Genomic DNA, 23962 nt, shown 5'->3' on the forward strand with positions numbered 1-23962 from the left:
TGTAGAACCAAGAAATTTGTTACTATCTGATTTATTAAGTCTATCACATAAATCACAATACTGATAACCTAAAACATAAATGTTGTTGTCTGTGTGTTGCAAAAATTTTGGTCAACTTAATATTTAAGAGGCATTTTTTCTGCTGCTTGATTATTTTGTTTACTAAATATGCGTCACCTTTATAGCTTTTTTATTTTGTTTTGTTTTATTTATTTATTTTTTTAGACGGAGTCTTGCTCTCTTGCCTAGGCTGGAGTGCAGTGGCGCGATCTCGGCTCACTGCAACCTCCACCTCCCGGGTTCAAGCAATTCTCCTCCCAAGTAGCTGGGACTACAGGCATGTGCCAACATGCTCAGCTAATTTTTGTATTTTTAGTAGAGACGGGGTTTCACCATGTTGGCCAGGCTGGTCTCAAACTCCTGACCTCAAACAATCCACCTGCCTCAGCCTCCCAAAGTGCTGGGATTACAGGTGTGAGCCACCGTGCCCAGCCTATAGCTAACATAGGTAAAGCACCCATCTAATTTCCACTTTAACTTATAAAAAAATAGAATAAACTAGTAAACTGTATAGTATGTAAAAAGGTGATAGGTGCAATGGGAAAAGGTAAACAGACAAGAGAGTCAGAGCACTCTAGAAGGTGGGGAGGAATGTTAAAGTACTTGTAAATAGCCATCAGGAAAGGCCCAATTGTAGCTTGACGATTAAATGCATCAAATGTAACTAATACTGAGTTATTCCTAGTAGAATATCAGGGTGTGTGTTTGTTCCTATGTAAAAGCTGTTACTCATAGACTCTGGTCAGGTGCATAAAAAGGCTGCACTTGTCTAGGAGAGCACTCAATATTTCCTTAACAGGTAGATGTAAAATGACTTGGTTATTCATCAATTTCATACTAGCCAGTACGGAAGTTGAATCAGAAGTATTACATTTTAGTAAACTGAACTAACTTCACTTTTATCACTGTGGCAGCTAACTTTCTTCTTTTGCAGATGACGATAGTGAGATAAAATACCTAAAATCGAAGAGCAGATGGAGGTTAAGAAAGTACATCATCATTGCTTAAAAAGTGAAAATTTCATAATTAAGCTGTATTATTGAAAATTAATATTTTTAAAAAACATAAAGTTCAGCCACTTAAAAACCCTAATTCAGTGTTTTACTTGCATATTTGAGCAAATAATCATGCTGTTTTATTTTATAGAAGACATTTCATAAACCTCATTTTTTTCATTTCTGCTATGCAACTTCAAAAAAGAAGCCAGAAGATTACCTAGCTGAATCTAAACCAATAAAATGTTTCAACACATCACATCTCACATCCATAAAAATACCCATTTTTAATTTTTTGTCTCAGTCACTTGAAAAGCCAACAGAAATGGGGCTGTTTATGTTCAAGATAAAGCAAACTAATCTTTATAACATGAACGTATCAAATACATTTTGAAATTTAAGTGGACATTCCTGGAACAGATTAGTTCACAGATGGATTTATTTAGGTCAATGTCCCTCACACTCTTTCTGAAAGCAGAGCCAACATCCAGAGAGTAGGACACAAATATTAATGAAAACTCACTTTACTTGCCCTTAGTTGAATGATGTTCCCTAAATCAGCTCACATTTGAAGTAGTCCAGTTAACTCCTCCTGAATGTAGCTCTGCTTTGGTTTATAGTGAAGGGCGGTATTATTTGAAATTGTTTTAAAAGCTTTTAGCCTTTAGCCTTACTGCAACTCACTTCAGTAGTACACAGAAGTGAAGATCTGAGGAGGTAGCAGACACAGTTATTTGCTCACTCTCTACCCACTCATCCAGGCTTTCTTCTTTGCTCATGGAGCCCCAAATTCGTTCAAGTATTTACCTCTTCAAGAGCTGGGCCCTTTCCTTCATTTTAAGAGGAAATTCTGATTAGTCTAATATTTAAAGAAATTCATTTCTCCTTAACACTAATTCGTTTAAGTGGTCAAATTCTGGTCAAGTTATTAGGAGCTTCTGCGAGTGTTGTCTTTCTTTTGAAAGGGACTTTCTGGCTCTCTCTTTCTGGTCATTGTCTTCTCAGGATATGCTGCCTAGAACTGCTGCAGCTATCACATGACCATAAAGTTTTACTTTAGGATGAAGCCAGCACCAAGAATGGCAAAGCAGAGATGAAAAGGACCTACTCTGATAATATTCTTTAGCTACTGCCTTAATTAAGCCTACTTCTGGACTTACTGTTCATTCATTCATCAAATATTCACTGAGGGCTTGCTATGAACCAAGAACTGTTCTAAGTGCTGGGGGTATAGCTTTAAAAAATAGAAAAAAAATCTCTGTGCAATGAAGCTAATATTCAAGTAGGGGGAGCTAGACATTAAATAGAATAAATAAGATATATATGTATATATATAGTTGTTAAAGTGATTAATGCAATAAAAAAATAAGATGTGGAAGTGTAAGAGGCATTGGAGTTGTACATAGAGTCATCAGGGAAGGTCTTAATTTGAAGGTACCATTTTATCAAAGAGAGAAAGATGTGAGAGAATTAAATTCTCTAGTGAGTATCCGTCCCCTGTTATTTGCTCAGTGTACACTTACTGACATTGATGTCATGGGTAAGTTACTCAGTTTTCATAGAAACTAATAACTCCCTGCCTCTCCATACATGTGTATTTGTGTATTTGCATTTCTTGACATTTGCTATCATGCCTAATTCAAATGACTTGGGCAAGTGGATTATCTGTGCCTGTGTGCTGGGACAAACTTTTTGCTTTCCTCCATTTCTGAATCAACTTCTTGCTACTTCTGGCCATTCAGTTCTAATAAGGAGAAGAGAGAAGGCATTTGCAGGAGGACATTGGAATGAGTTTTATTTTATCTATACCACTTTCCTCATAGTAACAATAGCTAACATTTATTAAGCACTTACCATTCTCTGGATAATATTCCAAGCCCTTTGAGTTTATTTTCTGTAATTCACTTAGCAGTCTTATGGAGGTTTATATTAGTATTATTACCATTTTTTCATATTGGAAAACCAAGGGCAAAAAGGTTAACTTTGCAAAGGTCACAGAGCAAAAGGTGAGCGTTGACTCACAGCAAGGGGTTGGATTTCAGAGCCCCAGAAATTAGACATAAGATAAATATTTGTACTTTTCAGATGTTAATAACTTTTATAGAGCTTATGAAAAAAATGATCATATTCACTGAGGTATGGAAAAACCAATGCAACTCATGAAAACCCAATAGTCCTTTAGCACAGTGAATACCTAGGCCATTTTTAAAGCTAGTTGTGTTAAAACTGGATACAAATATGCAGTCATAAGTTTAGTAAACACATATTATAATAAAATTGCTTACTAATCTTTATTCTTCCAAATTTATATCCCATGAAAGTTAAGGAGAACTAACAATGTTGATTCAGTTGGCAGCTAAATTACATACCCTATGTATTTTCCTGTAATCTATTAAGAGGGATCATTGCAACCACAAAACTGTAAACATGTTTACATTTAATCCCCAATCTATTTCTAAACTTCTGAAAAAAATAAGCATCTGTAGTAAAAGTTTCCAAGAAAAATTCAGTGATTAGGTCATATCTGATCATGACTCTGGAGAAGGGAAGGAAAGAATGGTTTCTGGAGAAGAAACTCCAGATAGGAGAGAGGACAAGGAGAATTGAACTTCTATTCTGGTTGGAGGGACGGCTAGGAGTAGAAGCAAAAAAATGTGTGAATGAGCTCTAGGATATGATAAAATATTTTCCAAAGTGTATGCAAGATATTAATCCCCAGGGTATTAACAGGCTTTTGGTTAATAACCAAATAAAAATTTAGTTAAAAAATAATTTTGTGCAGACCCAAAGTATCAGATCTTTAATGCACTAATTTGTATTATGAAATTTCACTTGAGGGGACATTTTACACTATGTTTTCTAAAGTTATTTATCCAAGGAGAAATTGCCCCTCCCCTGCTTCCTTCTATAGGGAATCTTACAGGACTAGGATTCCATAGTAGACACGTTAAGAAACACTGAAGAGTGACAGAAATATCTGAGCATAGCTGAACATTTTATTGTGTGCCTTAGAGAGTTCTCCAGAAACTAAGAAAAGATGGCTGCTGTGGAAAAAGGAGAAATAAGCTGAATCATCCCCATGCATGATCCTAGCACTGGGACTAGAATCTTCTTTAGAAGGTCAGCTTCATTAGAGAGGCTCCTTGCTGGCAAGGTGGTGTTGCCAAGTAGCCAGGCTGTTAGGAATCACCTAAAGTTCCCAGGCAATGGTTGAGTCCTTATAACTAGCAACCAGATCATTAAAACTTCTGTGTAGAAAGTAAGTAGAGAATATTTCAAATATATAAGTGAGGGCTTAATATTTTCCTATTAAATACTTCATTTTATGTTGTCATGACCTGTTTGTCCATGAGTTTTCTCACGCCCCATGTGCTCTAAGCAATGCTTTGCCAGTTAACATTTTAGCTATAAAATGAGCCTCCATGGCATACCAGTAGAGTTCTGCACAGATTTCAGATCTTGTGTTAATGCTAGCCACCAGCCAGGCAATGTAGAATTGAGTACATGTGGCTGTACATTTGTACCAATATTCTTTTAGTCCAGATTTTCTCCTTTTTATGTATCGCAATCCTCTTTATAAATAACACTTCCATATTTGAAAAAATTGGTCAATATTTTGCATCCTTTTCTCAGTGATACTGAGAGATAGGACTAGCTGGATTTTCTAGGCTAAGAATTCCTAAGCCTAGCTGGGGAAGGTGACTGCACCCACCTTTAAACACGGGGCTTGTAACTCAGCTCACACCCGACCAATCAGGTAGTAAAGAGGGCTCACTAAAATACCAGTTAGGCTAAATGCAGGAGGTAAAGAAATAATCAAATCATCTGTCATCTGAAAGCACAGGGGGAGGGACAATGATTGGGATATAAACCCCAGGCATTTGAGCCAGGAGTGGGCAACCCCCTTTGGGTCCCCTCCCACTGTATGGGAGCTCTGTTTTCATTCTATTAGATCTTGCAACTGCACACTCTTCTGGTCCGTGTTTGTTCTGCCTCAAGCTGAGCTTTCGCTCACCGTCCACCACTGCTGTTCGCTGCCATCCACCCCTCCAGATCGGGCAGGGTGTCCGTTGCGTTTCTGATCCAGCCAGGCAGCCGCTGTGGCTCCCGTTAGGACTAGAGGCTCACCATTGTTCCTGCGCAGCTAAGTCCTTGGGTTCGTCCCAATTGAGCTGAACACTAGTTGCTGGGTTCCACGGTTCTCTTCTGTGATCCATGGCTTCTAATAGAGCTATAACACTCACCGCATGGCCCAAGGTTCCATTCCTTGGAATCCGTGAGGCCAAGAACCCCAGATCAGGGAACAAAAGGCTTGCTGCCATCTTGGAAGTGGCCGCCACTATCTTGGGAGTGGTCCGCCACCATCTTGGGAGTGCTAAGAACGAAAACTCACCCGTAACAACATGCTATTATGGAAGTAAGTTTTATTAGCACAGTAAGTCAGTGGATCAGGGGTTTTGCGGATAAAATGTTCAGTCATTAAGTAGTAAACTTGGTCTCTGAAGACGGGGATCTGGGGGAAGAAAAGAAGCAAACTTGGTATTTTAAAAATATACATTCCAATTATTTGGAAAGAAAATCTGAGATTTGGAATTATGGAAAATTGATTAAAAATCTCACAGTTGAATGTAAAGCATATACTCTAATACAGATGGATGTCGATACACTTAGTAATGTATGTATATATGGATTTTATTTCTGTATTTTTATCAGGCATGCTAAGTGCATTCATTGATGCCACCTTATAAACATAAGAATAGTTGGCTTCCATATTTAAGACTATTAGTCCAGATGATGGCTGGGTAAGACCCCTCAGGGGAAAAGACTTCCTGAGGTACTTGTTCAGGTATTCTTAAACAGTGGTCAGACTAAAGGAATTGTATTCAAAATTTTGTATGTGTTTCTGCATTTTCGGATGAGAATATCTAGGGCTTTGGTGAGAATCTCAGTGCTGGTCTGATACCCAAGAGGGGTAAAGAATCACTGCTTCAGGGCTCCACAAGATATGCTGAGCTGTGGAATCCTCAGGGTATTGTTACTGAGCTGCACCTTCTGGACTGATCATTGTAAAACAGTTTAAAGGACTATTTTATTTTATTTTATTTTATTTATTTATTTGAGATGGAGCCTCGCGCTGTCACCCAGGCTGGAGTGCAGTGGGGTGATCTTGGCTCACTGCAAGCTCGCCTCCCGGGTTCACGCCATTCTCCTGCCTCAGCCTCCCGAGTAGCTGGGACTACAGGTGCCTGCCACCACGCCCAGCTAATTTTTTGTATTTTTAGTAGAGACAAGGTTTCACCATGTTAGCCAGGATGGTCTCGATCTCCCGACCTCGTGATCTGCCCGCCTTGGCCTCCCAAAGTGCTGGGATTACAGGTGTGAGCCACCATGCCTGGCCAAAAGGACTTATTTTTAGTGTTACTTCAACCATCATTTGATCTCTTAAATTAAAGCAATGCGATTATTTATTATAATTGACTCAGTCAAGTCCACACATCACCCATTATTCCTGTGTTATTTCCCAGCTGACTTGACTCGTGTGTGTGTGTGCACACGTGTGTGTGTTTGCAACAATAAACCTCTCAATAGACCTTTTGGTGATATCTGACAAACCAGAGTTATAAGTCCCAAGGCTCTCAGTTTGGGGAAGAAATGCTTCTATTCATGTATCCCTTAGCATTTACAAACTAGAGTTTGTATTTTCCTAACAGATTAAATGAAAGCTTAAGTTCTTAGTTCTAAGATTCTTTGCGGGGAAGGGAATACGGTAAAGGTTTTAGAGTATTTTTAAGACTATCACAATCACTATTTCTCAATTTAAGGATGATTTTGCTTGCAACCCTGAAAAGTACCAAAAAAAGTTTAGATCTGGAATTTTAACCTACATGTACATATGCATGCACACACATAATGACAAATAAGATTGTTTCCTGCATTTGCACTTAAGCATCTACGATTAGACACATTTATTACAGAAATAGAGTGTGATTCATGATTGAATTATACTAGGTCTCTTTGATTGCTAAGATGAGGAACTGTAAAATCTCTTGTTTGGTCAGCTTCAAGAAGAAAATGATTGTCTTGAGAAGTCTTCACTAGGCATATTGTAGTATAGAAGGGATCAAAGCAATGAAAGCAATGAATTCAATTTTCTAAAAATAAACACTCTCAAATATTTTCCCAAGCAATTGTCATCTCGTGTTTGACTTGGGGGATGGCGTGTTAATTACTAAACTCCAAGTCCCTCCACAATGTTGGGCATGGCATCCTCCTGGCTGCTGATCTGGCTATTTTCATTCAGCATGTGGCTGACACTTTCAGTGATTCTCATCATAAATATTTTGCTGCCACATCGCAAAGGAAGAGTAGAAAACAAAGCAGCACGCAGAGGCTGAAAGGGGTGGGTTTCCTTCATTTGCCTTAGTCAAAACATCACATGACCTTCCTATCCCACCCTCATGATTCATTCTATTAGTCTTCTTAAAGGGTGGCATGTTGAGGATTAGTGAGGACCATTTTAATATAGTTAAGTTTGCTTGCAATTAACTACAGGTTGAATATCCCTTATCCAAAGTGCTTCAGATTTAAGATTATTAAAAATAAATTTTGGGATATTTACATTGTACTTACCAGTTGAGCATTTCTCATCCAAAAATCTGGAATCTGAAATGTTCCAGTGGACATTTCCTTTGAACATCATGTTGACCCTCAAAAAGTTTCAGATTTTGGAGCATTTCAGATTTCGGATTTTTGGATTAGGGATACTCAACTTGTACAAAGGGACCGCACTTAAAAGCATATTAGAAAAATAATACAACTCAGGACATATAGATTCTCACAGAGTTTCATAAAGCAAAGTTCGGAGCCACATAATAATAGTATGTTGAATTTATAATTTGCTTTTAAAGCAGCTTAATTACACTGAGCCTGAATTGCCTAGTGCATAACCTACATTATATATAGTAAGCACCATCTGCTAGCATGCTAGCAGTCATCAAAGAGAATCATCAAGACACACACCACATTCCAGTAGCACTTAATCTACTTAGGTACTTGTTCAGGTATTCTTAAACGGTGGTCCAGACCAAAGGAATTTTATAACATTCCTTGTATAACTCCGGAATTTGCAATATTACTGTTGAGAGACTAGAAAATATTGAAAGTTTGTGTGTAAAAGAGAGCTCATTATAATAAAGATACGTATTCACAAGGTAAGGCGGAAAGTGATTCTTTCCATGGATCTTTTATTACGTGACACAATGTACCACAGCAACTAAACTGCTCTTCAGCAGCTCCACCCTCAGCCAGCCTGGACAGAAGGCAGCATGGAGACACACTGGCACAGAGATCAGTGCTCAAGCATTGAACCCAGATCTGTGCCTGTGCAAGACAGGGCAGGCATATCTACTATGGAGGAATGTGATAGTGGGTCACAGAAAATACAGTTTGAGTCATGAGAAGTCACGGGGAGGCTTCCTTATTTCCATTTAGGTTCAGCCTCTAAACCTCTGCCCTGCACACACCCACACAGGTCCCACAGTCTACAAAGGGATAGTTTGTATTAGACAAAGAGAAGCAAGCATGTCACAGCGTTCATTCGTTGATTAGAAATATTTATTTTGTACCTACTTGTTCCAGGTACTCTTCTATGTCTTAAAGATAGGAATGACAAAAAAGTTCCCATAGAACTTTCACACTTCTCAGAACTTCACATGACTTAACCCATTTACCGCTCATAAAAATCTGCGTGGAAAGTGCAGTCATCCCCATTTTATAGATGAGAAAACAGAAGCCTTGAGAATGTAGCATAACTTGTCAGAAACAGCTTACAGACCCATTTCTTAACCATTTTGCTGTTTCTTAACCATTTTGCTGCTTTGTTTGTGGATCCTTGGAATGGAAAGGTATGCTTGGGAAGAATGGGGACAGGGAATTGAGAAGGTGGAAAAACAGCATTTTCTGCTTAATGTAACAGGCACTGAGCTAGGTGCCACATGAGGATTATCTAATTTTGTTCTGTAACATTTTACAAATGAGGTCAGTTTTCTAAGGATTACAACCAGTTAAGCCGAAGGATCAGGAATTGTTAGATTTGAAGGGCTTGTGATTTTTCCTTTATACTATACTGCCACAAAAGAGAAAAACAAAACCAGAAAATAAACATTTGAAAGCCTGTTTTTCAAATTTGTTTCAGTACTTCTTCAACAATCCATGTGTATGTTGTGTGTGTGTGTGTTTATTGAATTGTTTTCTTTATTAAAACCATAATTAATTAGTATCCTTCAGAACTGCTATCAGATTTAGTAGCTTAGTGAATGTGTGAATGAAATGAATAGGTATTTCTGGCTTTAAAAAGAATTCTCATTTTATGTCCAACATGTGTGTTGGCCAGACTTCTCACATCCTTTTTTATTTTTGAGAAAAGAAAAAAAATGATGTGGCAACATCATTTGAAAATTTTCACATCCTATTTCACAGAAATTTTCAGTCTTTGAGAGTACAAAACATGAATTTTTAAAAAACAATTAAAAATGGACTAATGGTATGACATAACAATATGTTTTTGTATTTTCAGTTTTTCCCCATGCATCACTGGCACATAGTGACAGATGCAGTCACATAAATGGTAATAATTTCCTTGGCCACATCCCTGCTTGCTGATAGAAGAGCTCAGCTCTCTGGATAGAATCCCTCTGGTTTTCCTGGGAACTCCCTCCCCCAGACTGCCCAACACACACTGATGATCAAGTTGGCTTTCCAGTCCTGGTTCGGCATCTGCTGGGTGCCTCAATGTCTACCAGACCCCTCCAACCTCATGGCATCTGGGGTACTGGAGGCCTTCATGTGTTAAAACTCCTTAGGTTTCTGCTTCAAATGGGAAAGGCTTCTTTCAGGGTGATCAAAGAAGTGCTGCTCCTCTTCTAAAGTCTTGACTAAGATGTTAGTAAAGGTTCTCTTCTGATTTTTTTCTTCATTTTCCACGTGTCCTATATGAGAGTCCAGCAGGGCTGAAGTAACAGGTAAATCCAAGGAAGAGATGCCATGTTTACTCAGATCTCCTCTCACCTCCAGTAACCAAAGCTTTCCGTTAAGCTCATTATTCCAGACTATCTTTTCCATCAGAAAAAGAATTTTCTGGGGGCCACCCAGTCCCATTGCAAATAGACTTCTGGAGGGTCCACCTTTCCAACTTCATAAACATGCCCCCAAAAGTCCAGTGTACTCTCAGACTCAAATTGAGATACCTCATAGCATGACCTAATACCTACCGGAAACTAAACGTTACAAACATTATTCTATTTCATCTTTACAACAACTCCATGAAGAAAAAATATCTCTGTGAGTCAGTTGGGCTAAGAGAGACTAAGAGACTTGTCTAAGGAAATGGAGAGCAAGGGACAGAAATGAAACATTCATGGCTTCTGAATCCACATTCAAGACTTTCCCCACTGTATCACAGTGTCTTAAGAAAATCTGACAAACAAATTTTAGCTTTTAAAAAAACATTATCCAAAAATTCTCATTCTTATAAGTCACACAGTGATATTTATGGTAAACTGCATATTCAACTAACCCAGAAATTCGAAATTCAGACACAGTAGTATTCAGTTGTGCTACTAAAACCAATTGTTTTCATTTTCCCTTTTGGATTGTCATTAGTTGCATGTGGTAGATAAGACATCAGATTTAGAAAAAAAAGCATTGATTTGATTGATTCCAACTGTAAATCTTAAACGCATTTTTCAATTTATGGGATCATAGTTGTTCTCCTAGGCCCCTGGGTTATAGTACATAGGCCTCTGGATTACAGTACAATTTCCTATGCAAACCAGGTTATTTCCTGACAGATTTTAAGACTCAAGATTGGAAAAGATAGAAATTTAAAATATTTCCACTTTCTTCCCAGTGACCAATTAAAATATAAATGTATATAGTGGGATTATTGAATTATATAAGCATTTATGTCTCAATGAAATAACAATCTATAGCACACTACCACTGAAAAAAAAAGACTGTACCTGTCTCCAGTTACACATTGTATATGATATTAACTGTGTCTCTGTGAGTGCTCACATACATAAGCACTCCACATGGTTTAGCAGTCAGACAAATGTTTTGTGTGGGTGATCTGAGACTCCATAACATAAACCACTTACTCAAAAAACCTATTGGTATCTCTCTAAATCTGTGCCAGCTGGACAAGCTAATAGTTATATTGAGAGTTTCTCTTCCCTGGTGCTTATCGCCTACACAATAAGCTATTTGACTACCAGAAACTATTTGAGTAGGGAGAGATTTTAGTAGAAATGTTTGCTAAAATGCTAGAGGTCAAAGACATAAGCTTGATTTCAAAATGAGAACTAGCATGTTGTGGATTAAAAGTCTACAAAATATTTTAAAATAAAAAATACACACAGACATATATAAATATATTACCTAGATTTGATAGCAAAACTATAAATCCATCTCCTCTTGCCATTTTCTTTCCTTACCATATGTGCTTTTTAGCCACAGATGCAGGAGTGTTGGAGCTTCTGGACCTGTGGATAGTGTTTCCATACTTTCCTGTTCCTCCTAGTTTATAGGAATTTCACACTTGTCAACATATATCCGCTCCATAAAGGATGTCTGAAGTACAATCATCTTAAGAGAGGTCTTTTCTCAGAAAGATGTTAAAGCTAGGAGATTTTTGCATATTTTTTGTAATAAGTTATAATGATAAAAATAATAAAATTTATAAAGAACTATACAGTTAAAAAATTCACATACATTTTTATATTAATATATGACATTTAATATGTCACATTAATTCTTGCAAACTCCATGTTATAGGTTTTGTTGTCCCTATTTAATGAAAGAGAACTATTTCATTCTTTTTTCAAGGTCACAAATGGAAAAAGTGACTCTAGGTCTCATCCTCTTCACTAGATGGTTGTGCAAAGCATGCAAAGTAAACAAGTATATACTAGACACAAAATGCTTTGAAATGAACAAATATCCAGAATTTTGTTATTACATAGTTTATCTTTCTTTGCTTTATAAAATTCATTCATCACAGTTCAGGGATGGTTTGATAAATGTTGAACTCCAAAACCCCATTTTATGGAAAGAAAATTGACTCTGAGAGAGAAAGTGATTTTCTCATTTTCTGCACTCACAATTAACAATGAAATTCAAATTGGATTCACATACCAAGTGAAGTGTATTTACCTGGACTTCAGACTAGATATACAACAGAAAGTGAGAAAAAACGATGAATTGTGCATGATAGGACAAAGGCAGGCAGATTGCATGTATTTTCATAGTTACATAGAGATGCCAGCTAGCCATCCAAATTCAGGACTGTCTGCCATAGTGTAACATTTAGTTGGGAATAGCTGCTGAGTTGGGAATTGCAGTTCCCTTTCCATTTAGTTGAGGCATGAGAGTAGATCTCTCCAATGGTGCCATAAGCAGCAGCATGGTCAATGGTGTGTTTTCTCTAAGTTTTCTTCTCCTTCTCTCAACATAGTGTAAAATGAGGCCCCAAGTGAGGGGAGAGCCCTAAAGTGGAAGTCATGTAGGTCTTTGAATCACCCTGTGAAGAAAAGCAGCCTACTAGGAACACCCAGGTCGGACTGTGGTATAACCGAGAAATAAACTTTTGTTGCAGGCTGTTGAAACTTTGGAGTTAGTATAGCAACTAGTGTTATTTAACTAATATAAAATTGAACATGTATTTAAGTAAAGAATTAATATCATTAAATGATAGATAAAACTATACCCTAAATAAGTTTTAAATTATGAAAGAAAATAAATTATTTTTAAAATTGTAAATATTGCATAAGCTAATGCATATTTCCCTTTTTTAGAGATGATGGATAAAAGATTACTTTTTACTAGTTGATATAATTTGTAGATGGAATTCTAGTTGTATAGGCATTATCTCATTATTTAAGGAAGTGATATATAACAAGGATTCTTTTCTGGTAGCTAATCTAGTTTATAGATGGAACTCTAATTATATAGATACTATTTTATTTTGCTCTGAAATGCACAAACACAACCTTCTGCCAGTACTATGTTATTAACCAGAGAAGTGATCTTTAAGCAAATTGGAATTTGGAGAAATCTTGTCACATTTGAAATAATTAACTAATTGACAAATAAGAAAATGTATATATTTATGGTATACAATGTGATGTTTCAGTATATGTATACATAGTAGAATAATTAAATCAAGCTAATGAACAAGTTAACATATCCATCACATCACATACATATTTTATTTGTGCTGAGAACATTTAAACTCTACTCTAAACAATTTCTAAGTAACTATGTATTATTATTATAGTCACCATGCTGTACAGTAGATCTCCAGAGCTTATTCTTTCTGTGTAATTGAATACAAATTGTACCCTTTAACCAACATCTTTCAATTATCCATCCCACGTTCCAACTCCCAACCCCTAATAACCATCATTCTACTCTCTGCTTCTCTGAGTTCAATATTTTTAGATTCCACATATACGTGAGATCATGTAATATTTGTCTTTCTGTGCCTGACTTATTTCACTAAGCATGATGCCCTCCAAGTTCATCCACATTGTCACAAAGAACAAGATTTCCTTCTTTTTTTAAGGCTAAATAGTATTCCATCATGCATGTATGTCACAGTTTATTTAGCCATTCATCTGTTGATGGACACTCAGGTTGTTTCCATATATTGGCCATTGTGAATAATGTTGCAGTGAACATGGAAGTGAAGATATCTCTTTGACATATTGATTTTACTTACTTTGGATATATATGCAGAGGTGGGATTGCTAGATCATACAGTAGCTTTATTGTTAATTTTCTGAGGAACTGCCATATTGCCTTTCATAATGGCTGTACTGATTTATATTCCTACCAACAATGCAAGGATTCCCTTTTCATCACATACTTACCAACATTTATCTTTTTATTTGTAATAAAAGCCACCCTCACAGCTGTAAGGTAATATCTTATTGTGGTTTTAATTTGCATTTCCCTGATGGTTAATGATGTTGAGGACCCTTTCATATACCCGTTGGTCTTTTGGATGTCTTCTTTTGAGAAATGTTTATTCAAGTTTTTGCCCATTTTTGAATTGTGCTATTTGTTTTCTTGCCATTTCATTGTTTGAGTTCCTTTTATAATTTGGATATTAACCCATATCAGATATACATTTTGCAGATGTTTTCCTCCCCTTTTTGTAGGTCTCTTCACTCTGTTGATTGTTTCCTTAGCTGTGCAGAAGCTTTTTAATGTGATGCAATTCCATTTGCCTATTTTTGCTTTTGTTTCTTGTGCTTTTGGAGTTTCTTATCACAATTTAAAAGGTATCTCATCATCTCTAGTTGTGTGTAGATTCATGTTGGATGCATTTATGCGCACATTCCCAATGATGGTGACCAAGAGCCAAGAACAAGAGATAGAGATCTAGTTAAGCATTTTCTATCTGTGAGACTTGAACAATTAACTTTACCTCCCTGAGTCTCAGTTTCCTCATTTGTAATATGAGAACAGTAATACCTAGACTATAAGATTTTTGTGACAGTAAAATGAGATGATACAAATAAAACTATCTTTTTATCCGTAAGTCAAAATTTAAATGTTATTCGTTATTGTTATTTATTGGCATTTGGTATTCATGACAAAAAATAGAAACTCATAGGAAAATTTGGCTTAAATTCAGCAGAAATTCACTTTCTGCAGCAATGCCTGAATATATATATATTTTAAAATATTTCTATGTTTCGCTGAGCTTTTTTCTGTCTTGCAGTGGGTTAAAGGAAAAGGCAAGTTAGTCATCTGAGATGAGCCATACAATGTACTCTTGTAGGTCAAGATGGAGACATGTTAATGGAGAAAAGATATCATTTATTTACAAACATTTCAGTTAACTGAAGAGACTCTACGCATAGTCAACTGAACTCAGAGCTTCCAGAGGTCACTGCGCGTAGGAAAAAAACTAAGTAATCATCAGAATTAATCATACTGACGCCTGTTTGTCTGATATTTTTTAGAATATTGTGGGAAGCTAACAGCAATGAAATTTGGCAAGCAATTTGGAATTTGTGTGTGTGTGTGTGTGTGTGTGTGTTTTATAAAATGTGATCTTTAGATGGTACTTCAGCTTTGGCCCAAATCCCATCCTCTAGAGTCTGGGCAAACCAAGTTTTCAAATACAAGAGATGCCAAACAGCAATTTGTGAAAGGGAAGAGGGTGGTGATAAATTTAGTATTCGTGCATGATGTGAAATTTTATAAATTTGTTATCAGTTAGAGAATAACTATACTAGAGAGCTCATAAAAGGTGATATTTGATACCAGAATTTAGGTAGAAGAGACGTATTCTCTAAATTTATAACTTGATTTATTAATTGAACACTTACTTAAGTTTTACTCAGAACGCTTCAGGCAAGACACAATATCTGGGTGTCCCTAAGAAATCAGAAGATAGGGCTCAAGATTATAAGCCATAGACAGCACCACAGAATGTCTATTAAAAATAAATAAAATGTACAGCTTATTAGGAATTGAAACAAATATGGGTAGCCATGGAAATAAAAAATGGTGGTGGTGATACAATGAGTTTTCATTTGGACAGATATTGAAGCTATAATAATGATTGAAGTTTGTTGTATGTCAAGTAAGAAAATGAAGAAGTCTCAAACGTTCCACACATTATGACAATTACTTGGCATTTGTCTCTATAGGGGCTCTAGAGTTCAGGATTAAAATCCAGTGCTCCATGGAAACAACCGTTTAGAAGAAAAATTTAGGAAATTAAGTGACAGGAGTCTCACAGTGACATTTGTACAGTATATTCCACAGCACTTAGATGACCCTCTGCTTTGAAAATGCAGAAAACACAAAGGGTTTGCTGCTCTTATTCCTAGCCACAGTGGAGTAATGGAAGACTTGGATAGAAGGCAATAGATAACAGCTGCTCAGCTGTCTTGAGTAATTTGAAGTTTAAGTCCTTGCTTGTTTCCCTTTGTCTAAATGTTTCTCTTATTATTAGATCCCATTTTTCAATCTTTTAATCATCCTTGTGGCTCTTCTCTAAACTTGCTTCAAATTCTCGAACTTTCTGGTAAATTGTGCAGCTCAGAACTGAACACATTTTTTAAGCCTTCTATAATTAAAGGTTTTTTGTTTTGTTTTGTTAACAGTTATATAGGTGCTCAAATATTTTAAGTATAATTTTTTAAAGTTTCTCTTGAAAGCAGGAAGTTATAGCATTTTAACAGTAACCCAATGCAAATACATGGAAGTTTAGTCTTATTTACCCTTGGGCACGATAATGACATACTATTATTTCCCCAATTATATTAAGCCAGTGGTAGCTTGATTTGGATAGTGACATATTCAGACATACTCAAAGACTGTTTACTAGCCTTTTGTAGTATAATAAACTGGCCTTTCTAAAAAGGTTTTTATACAGTTAGGTTGATTGAACAATGTTTTTAGAAGTAAAAACAGACATTAGAATTTACTCGTGGAAACAAATAGCATAGTTGTCATCTCTAATTCAGTTTGAATGACTGACTTCTATTGAAGGTGTTCTCATGAGCAATGATGCATCCTACTAGTGTATATAAATAGACGATTCAGTTCTTTGGGGCATATTTTTCAGAGCTCAAAAGTATTCAATTTCTAAATTACACTATATGTTCACCATAAATGCACAAATTTATTCCTTGACTTTAAAGCCTGACATTTTAAGCTTTGTATGAAATACTGTTGCCTTGAGGGAAAGGAAGGACAGAAATGGGTAGAGGTCAGGATAAATTTTATATGTAGTTTTAGAATTATTTGTCAATGCTAGCCTCTATACCTTCTCACTGTAAAAGATTATTTATTTCCCAGAATAAAAGATACTTCTAAAAGGAGATCCCTTTGCATCTTGTAATAATGTACACTTAGAATATATTCTTTTTAATTTTTTTTAAAGACTAGCACAGTTGTATATTTTAATTAAAGGTACTCCAATTCAGATCTACCTATGCTTATGGCACATGAATATATCTAGAGGACAGAAAATGAACTTTTAAAACTATTTGATAGATTAGGCAGTAATTATAATCACTGGACTAATCTTGATGTGTTGTTGAAACTTCAGATAACTATTTTTGTGGGATTTGCTGAGTAAAATAAAAGATCTGAGCATGTTGAATTATACTTTAAATTTCAAAGCTTTTTAAGATAAGAGAAATTCTGAGGTTGGCATGTCCCAAATAATGAGGTTTGGTGATACCTGTCAAGGCTATGGAGCTCCTGAAGACCAGTTACAATATAGATTTTCACTACTGCTTCTCTATAATGAATAGTTCTGCTCCCTTCCAAATTTATATTTCATATCACATTTGTTTAACAACTGTTTAAGTGAATCTGGTTTGAGTATGTCTGTTAGATCCAGTTCTTATTAGAACAATGCCTGACATCTTAGACTAGCATGAGAAAAAAAGGAAAAAAGAACAATGCCTGACAGTTGTTTAGAAACTAAATTCAAAGTATTGAAAAGAAAAGAATTGTTCACACAGTTATTCACTGACATGATATTGCTTATTGATGACGTCATGGGCGATATCGTTTCATGATCAAGCATTCCGTCAATGCCAAAAGAAGAAAAATAATATTTTTTTCAGACTTATAGAAAACTTGAGTTGATATCACTGATTCAGTGTGTTTTTATGAAGATAAATTTCTTGATCTGTCATGCGGCAAATTCAGGATTAGAAATTCAGCGATTTACTATTAGGTTATATTAAATGCTTTTTAGGAAGAATTTCAAATAAAGATGAGATTTTAAAAACATGACAGTTGTTGTTCTTTTGCTGTTGTTTTTAGAGCAAATATTTTTTCTATTTTGTTGATTTGGATTATGTTAATAGATACAGAAAAACAGCAAGAAAAACGAGAACTTCTGTTATTTGAGAGGAAAAGCAAATTCCTACATCCTTCTGTCTTCAAGTGCTGTCAATCTTCCTTTGAAATATGGGCATAGTAGGTTCTCCCATTTCTGCTTCCAGATTTAGACTCTTTTAATCCCTCATGCAGTGTGTCATAATGACTTCCTAATTGTCCTCCCTCCTTTAATGGCTGGCCAGTAATCTTGTGAACAACCTATGCAAGTTTTGCTTTTTCAAAAAAAAATTAAAATCACTGCTCTTCATTGCATTCATCTATTCATTTCTATAATTTTGTTATTTCAGTAATGTTATATAAGTGGAATCATATACTGTGTATATTTTTAGGATTTTTTTCACTCATAATTCTCTGAAGGTTTATTCAAGGTGTTGCATGTATTAACAGTTTATTCTTGGCTATTACAGAGTAGTATTTCACAGAGTTTGTTTAACCATTCCAATTGAAGGGCATCTGAGTTGTTTTCCATTTGAAACTATTACAAATAATGCTATTATGAACATTTATGTACAAGTTTCTATGTGAACATAATTTTCATTTCTCTGGGATAAGTGCTCAGAGGTGCATAGGATGTGCCATAGGATAGTTACATATATATATATATATTTTTTTTTTTTTAGAAACTGCAAATGTATTTTCTAGAATGACTGAGCTATTTCATATTCTCACCAGAAATATATGAATGATTCAGTTTCTCCACATCCTCACCAGCATTTAGTGTTTTTATAATTTTAAAATTGTATTCATTCTGATAGGTGTGTTGTAATATCTCAGTGTGTTTTTAATTTGCACTTTCCTGATGGCTAGCGATATTTATCATTTTTATGTACTTATTTGTTATCTGTGTATCCACTTTAATAAAATAACTGTTCATGTCCTTTGCCAATTTTACAATTAAATTCTTTAGGTTCATCTTTTTTAAAAAAATTTTCCAGTCACGTTTTGAGAGTTCTTTACTTATCCTAGATACTAATCCTTTTGCCTAATATATGCTTCGCAAATATTTTCTCTCAGTCTGTAGCTTGTTTTTTTTCATTCTCTTAATAGGATATGATGCAAAGAATACATTTTTAATATTGATAAAGTCTAATTTATTATTTTTTTCTTCTATAAGTCATGGTTATAGCTTCAGGTTTAAAAACTCTAGCCCTATATCCCAAAGACATTTTTTTCCTAAAAGTTTTATAATTTTATATTTTACATTTAACTTTGTTATTCCTTTCGAGTTCATTTCTATATAAAGTGTAAGGTTTAGGTCAAAGTTCATTATTGGTCCAATTGCTTGTCCAATTTACGTCCAATTGCTTCAGCACCATTTTGTGGAAGGCTATTTTTCCTCTATTGAATTATTTTTGTATCTTTGTCATGGAAAGCTGGGTATATTGGCCAGCCGCGGTGGCTCACGCCTGTAATCCTAGCACTTTGGGAGGCTGAGGCCGGCAGATCACGAAGTCAGGGGGCGGAGACCATCCTGGCCAATATGGTGAAACCCTGTCTCTACTAAAAATACAAAAATTAGCTGGGCGTGGTGGCACGTGCCTGTAATCCCAGGTACTTGGGAGGCTGAGGCAGGAGAATCGCTTGAACCAGGGAGTCGGAGGTTGCAGTGAGCCAAGATCATACCACTGCACTCTAGCCTGGTGACAGAGCAAAGTCGTTTTTGACTTTTTATTAACATTTTATATTTTTCAGCATGGAAATTCTGTGTTTTGATAGAATTATACTGAATTATTTAATTTTCTTAAGTGATTATAAATAAAATTGTGTTTTTGTTTCCAGTGTTTATTGTTAGTGTATAGAAATGCAATTGATTTTTAAAAATGTATATCTTGTATTTTGTGACCTTGCGGAGCTCACTTTTTAATTTTAGGAGATTTTTTCTTTGCATGATCCATAGGATTTTCTATTTCAATAATAATGCCAACTGCACACAGCACAGTTTATCCCTTTTTTTCTCAATTTACATGCCATTATTTCTTTTTCTTGTTTTATTGCACTGGCTAGAACTTTGAGCACTATGTTGAATAAGAGTGGTAACAGCAGATAGATGTTGTTGCCTTGTTCCTGATTTTACAGAGCAAGCATTCAATCTTTCATTCTTTATAATTTTAGCTGTGATATTTTTGTAGATGCTGTTTATCAAGTAGAGAAAGTTATTCTCAATTTTTATTTTTCTGAGAGTTTTTAAAATTATAAATGCATGTTGAATTTTTCAAAAATCTTTTTCTTCATAGAGTATATGATCATATGCTCTTTCTTCTTTAGGGTGCTCATTTGATGGGTTATATTAATTTATTTTCAAATATTAAAGTAGTCTTAAACCACTTGGTCATGATGTATAATAAATTCTATTTACTAATATTTTGTTAAAGATTTTTGCATCTATATTCTTGAGGGATATTGGTCTGAAGCTTTCTTTTGTTTTGTTTGGTACTGTCTTTGGTTTTGATATCAAGGTAATATTAACTTCATACAATGAATTAAGAAGTGTTCTGTTTTCTTCCCTTCAAGAGATTGTGTAGAATTGGTGTTAAATTTTCTTTAAAAGTTTGGTAGAATTCTCCAGAGAAATTATTTGGCTTGGAGATTAATTTGGGATAGAGATGAGTTTTTAGCTTATGAATTCAATTTACTTAATATTTAAATATCTGTTCAAATTTTCTATGTCATATTGGATAAATTGTGGTAGTTTTCTGTTTTTTTTTTTCCTGAGGAATAGTAAAATTTCTTCTAAGTTATTAAATTTAGTTATGCAGAGATGTTTGTAGTATTCACTTACTATCTTTTTGATGTCTTCAGGATCTGTTTTATTCCTGATGTTGGCAATTAGAATAATCTTTTTCCTTTTTTGTCAGTCTTGCCAGAAGTTTGTCAATCTTATTGATCATTCAAAGAAACAGCTTTTCGTTTCTATTTTTTTTTTGTTTTCATTTCCATTGCTTTTCTGCTCTTATCTTTATTATTGCTTTCCTTGTGCTTACTTTATTTAGATTTACACTGGTCTTCTTTTTATAGATTCTTGAGGAGCAAGCTTGAATTACTGATTTGAAGCATTGTCTCTACCCTAATCTAAGTGCTATCTATACATCTGGTGCTATAAATTTCCCTCTTAGTCCTGCCTACATTTGTCCTCAAAATTTCGGTATGGTGTGTTTTTATTTTCATTCAGTTGAATATATTTCTCGGATTTTTCTTAAATCTTCTTTTTTGGCCAATGAGTTATTTGGAATTGTGTTGTTCAGTTTTCAAGTCTTTGAGGATTTTTCTTTCTTTCTATTATTGATTTATAGTTTGATTTCCTTGTTATCAGAAAACATACTCTTCATGGTTTCAATTCATATGGCCCAGTATATGGTCTTTCATGGCATACATTTTATGGGTGCTTAAAAAGAATGTATATTCTTCTGTTGTTGTGTCCTATAAAAGTCTATTAGATTCATTTAGTTAAGAGTGTTTTAATCTTCTATAATCTTGTTGATTTTCTGTCTAGTTGTTCTATCAGTTGTTGGATAGGGGTGTTGAAATTTCCAACTTTAGTCGTGGAGTTGTATAGTTTTCCTTTTAGTGATATTGCTTTTCATTTCACATCTTTTGCATCTTGGTTGTTTGATACGTATACTTTTATAATTGCTATGTCTTCTTGGTAGATTGACCCTTTTGTCATTATATGGTGTCTTACTCTAATTCTTTTGTTTTCTCTGTTCTATTTAATCTGATACTATAATAGAAGCTATTGCCACTGTCTTTTTATTAATATTTCCATAATATATCTTCTTTATCTTTTTACTTTAATCAGCTTGCATTGTTTTATTAATATTTGAAGTAAGATTCTTGTAGAAACTATATTTGGGTGGTATTTTAAAATCTGCTTTGCCAATCTTTGTCTTCCCAGTGGCATGATCATAGCTTTTTGTAACCTTGAACTCCTGGGCTCAAGCTACCCTCCCAACCTAAGCCTCCTGAGTGGCTGTGCTGCGCCACTACTCCTGGCTAACTTTTTAAAATTTTTTGAGAGATGGGGTCGTTCAAGGTTGAACAGGCTCACCTTAAACTCCTGGCTTCAAGTGATCTTCCCACCTTAGCCTCCTCAGTATCTGGGATTATAGGCATAAGCCACTGTACTGGGCTCTTAAACTTTTTTTTTTTTTTTTTTTTTTTTGAGACAGAGTCTCCCTCTGTCGCCCAGGCTGGAGTGCAGTGGCCTGATCTCGGCTCACTGCAAGCTCCGCCTCCCGGGTTCACGCCATTCTCCTGCCTCAGCCTCCCGAGTAGCTGGGACTACAGGCGCCGGCCACCACGCCCAGCTAATGTTTTGCATGTTTAGTAGAGACGGGGTTTCACTGCGTTGGCCAGGCTGGTCTCGAACTCCTGACCTCGTGATCTGCCCGCCTCGGCCTCCCAAAGTGCTGGGATTACAGGTGTGAGCCACCATGCCTGGCCAAACTTTTTAAAAATGTTACATTCTGACTTATCTGTATTGTTTCTAGAGTTTATTTCATTGTATAATTTTTTGGTGGTTGCTCTAGGTGTTACATTATACACACAAAACTTACCACAGTCTAATGGTAGTATGATTTTACCAGTTTGAGTGAAGTTCAGAAGACTTAATTCACTTTATATTCATTTACCTTCCCCCATTTATAATTGTCTTAAATATTTTCTCTACATACATATTGAACCATGTCAAACATTGCTATATATTTTTTAATTGCTTCAATCATCAAACATAGTTTAATGTTTTACCTATGTTTTATGTGTATTGTTTCTCACTGTGTTCTGTCTTCCTTCCTGGTGTTCTGAGATTCTAGTTTATTCTATTTTATTTTATTCCTGTTTAGAGAAATTTATTTAGCCATTCTTGTAGAGTGGATTTTCAGCAACAAATTCTCTTCGTTTTTCTTCATTTCAGAATATGGTGATTTTCCTTTCATTCCTGATATGTATTTTTACTAATTAAATATAGGATCCTAGGTTGATAGTTTTTTTTTTTTCCTTTCAGCACTTGAAAATGGTACCGATACTTCCTCCTGGCTTTATGGTTTCTGCTGAGAAATTTGCTCTTATTCAAATATTTTCCCGTATAGGTAACGTGTTATTTCTCTCTTGTTTCCATAAAAGTGTTTCTTTCTCTTTAGTTTTCTAAAGTTTGACTATGCTGTGTCTTATTTTACATTTCTGTAGATTTATTGTGTTTTTTATTCACTCAGCTTCAATCTGTATGTTTATGTCTTTCACCAAATTGGAAAGTTTTTCACTTTGATTATTTGATTTTATATTACTTTGATCAATTCTTCAGTTCCTCTTTTTTTTTCTCATTTATTTCAAGGACTCCAATGGCAGAAATGTTTGTTTTTTTTGTTTGTTTGTTATAGTCCTCCAGGTCCTTGAGGCTCTGTTCATTTTTTTTTTCAGTCTATTTCCTGTCCTCCTGTCCGTTGCTGAAATTGCATAATTTCTATTGTTCCATCTTTCAATTCACATATTCTTTCCTGTAGCTCCTCCATTTTGCTGTTGAGCACTTTCACTGAGTTTTTAAAATAATAATTAATAATTTCAGTTACTGTATTTTCTGAGTTCTAAAATTTTCATTTGGTTCTCCTTTGCATCTTTTATTTTGTGGCTGAGATTTTCTATTTCAGAGACTTTCTGTTTTTCTGTTTCTCTCAAATGTGTTTGTAATTGCTTATTGAAGCATTTTATGATGGCCTCCTTATCATCTTTGTCAGCTAATTTTAATATCTGTCATTTAGATGTTGCCATTTATTGATTGTCTTTTTTCCTTCAGTTTGAGATCTTCCTTGTTCTTTGTGGGATGATTAATGATTTTCTATTGAGACCTGAATATTTGGAATATCATGTTATAAGAGTCTGGAACTCACTTAAACCTTCTGTTTTAGCTTATTTACTGTAACCCCACCTCAGTAAGACAAAGATGGGGGTACCTCATCACTGTCCAGTTGGGGGAGAAG

General features: G+C 35.3%; 1 long non-coding RNA gene across 1 annotated transcript in view; it reads right to left on the reverse strand.

Moving 5' to 3' along the window:
* Window positions 1-5462: 5462 nt before the first annotated feature.
* The window catches only part of LOC124901596 (uncharacterized), a 33197-nt gene continuing 14697 nt past the window's right edge, over window positions 5463-23962 (reverse strand). Inside the window, exon 2 of the long non-coding RNA XR_007060240.1 lies at window positions 5463-5568. This is a non-coding gene — a long non-coding RNA (uncharacterized LOC124901596). The remainder of the gene's footprint in view (window positions 5569-23962) is intronic.

The sequence above is a fragment of the Homo sapiens genome, chromosome 7 (genome assembly GCF_000001405.40).
Source record: "Homo sapiens chromosome 7, GRCh38.p14 Primary Assembly".
NCBI classification, from domain to species: Eukaryota; Metazoa; Chordata; class Mammalia; order Primates; family Hominidae; genus Homo; species Homo sapiens.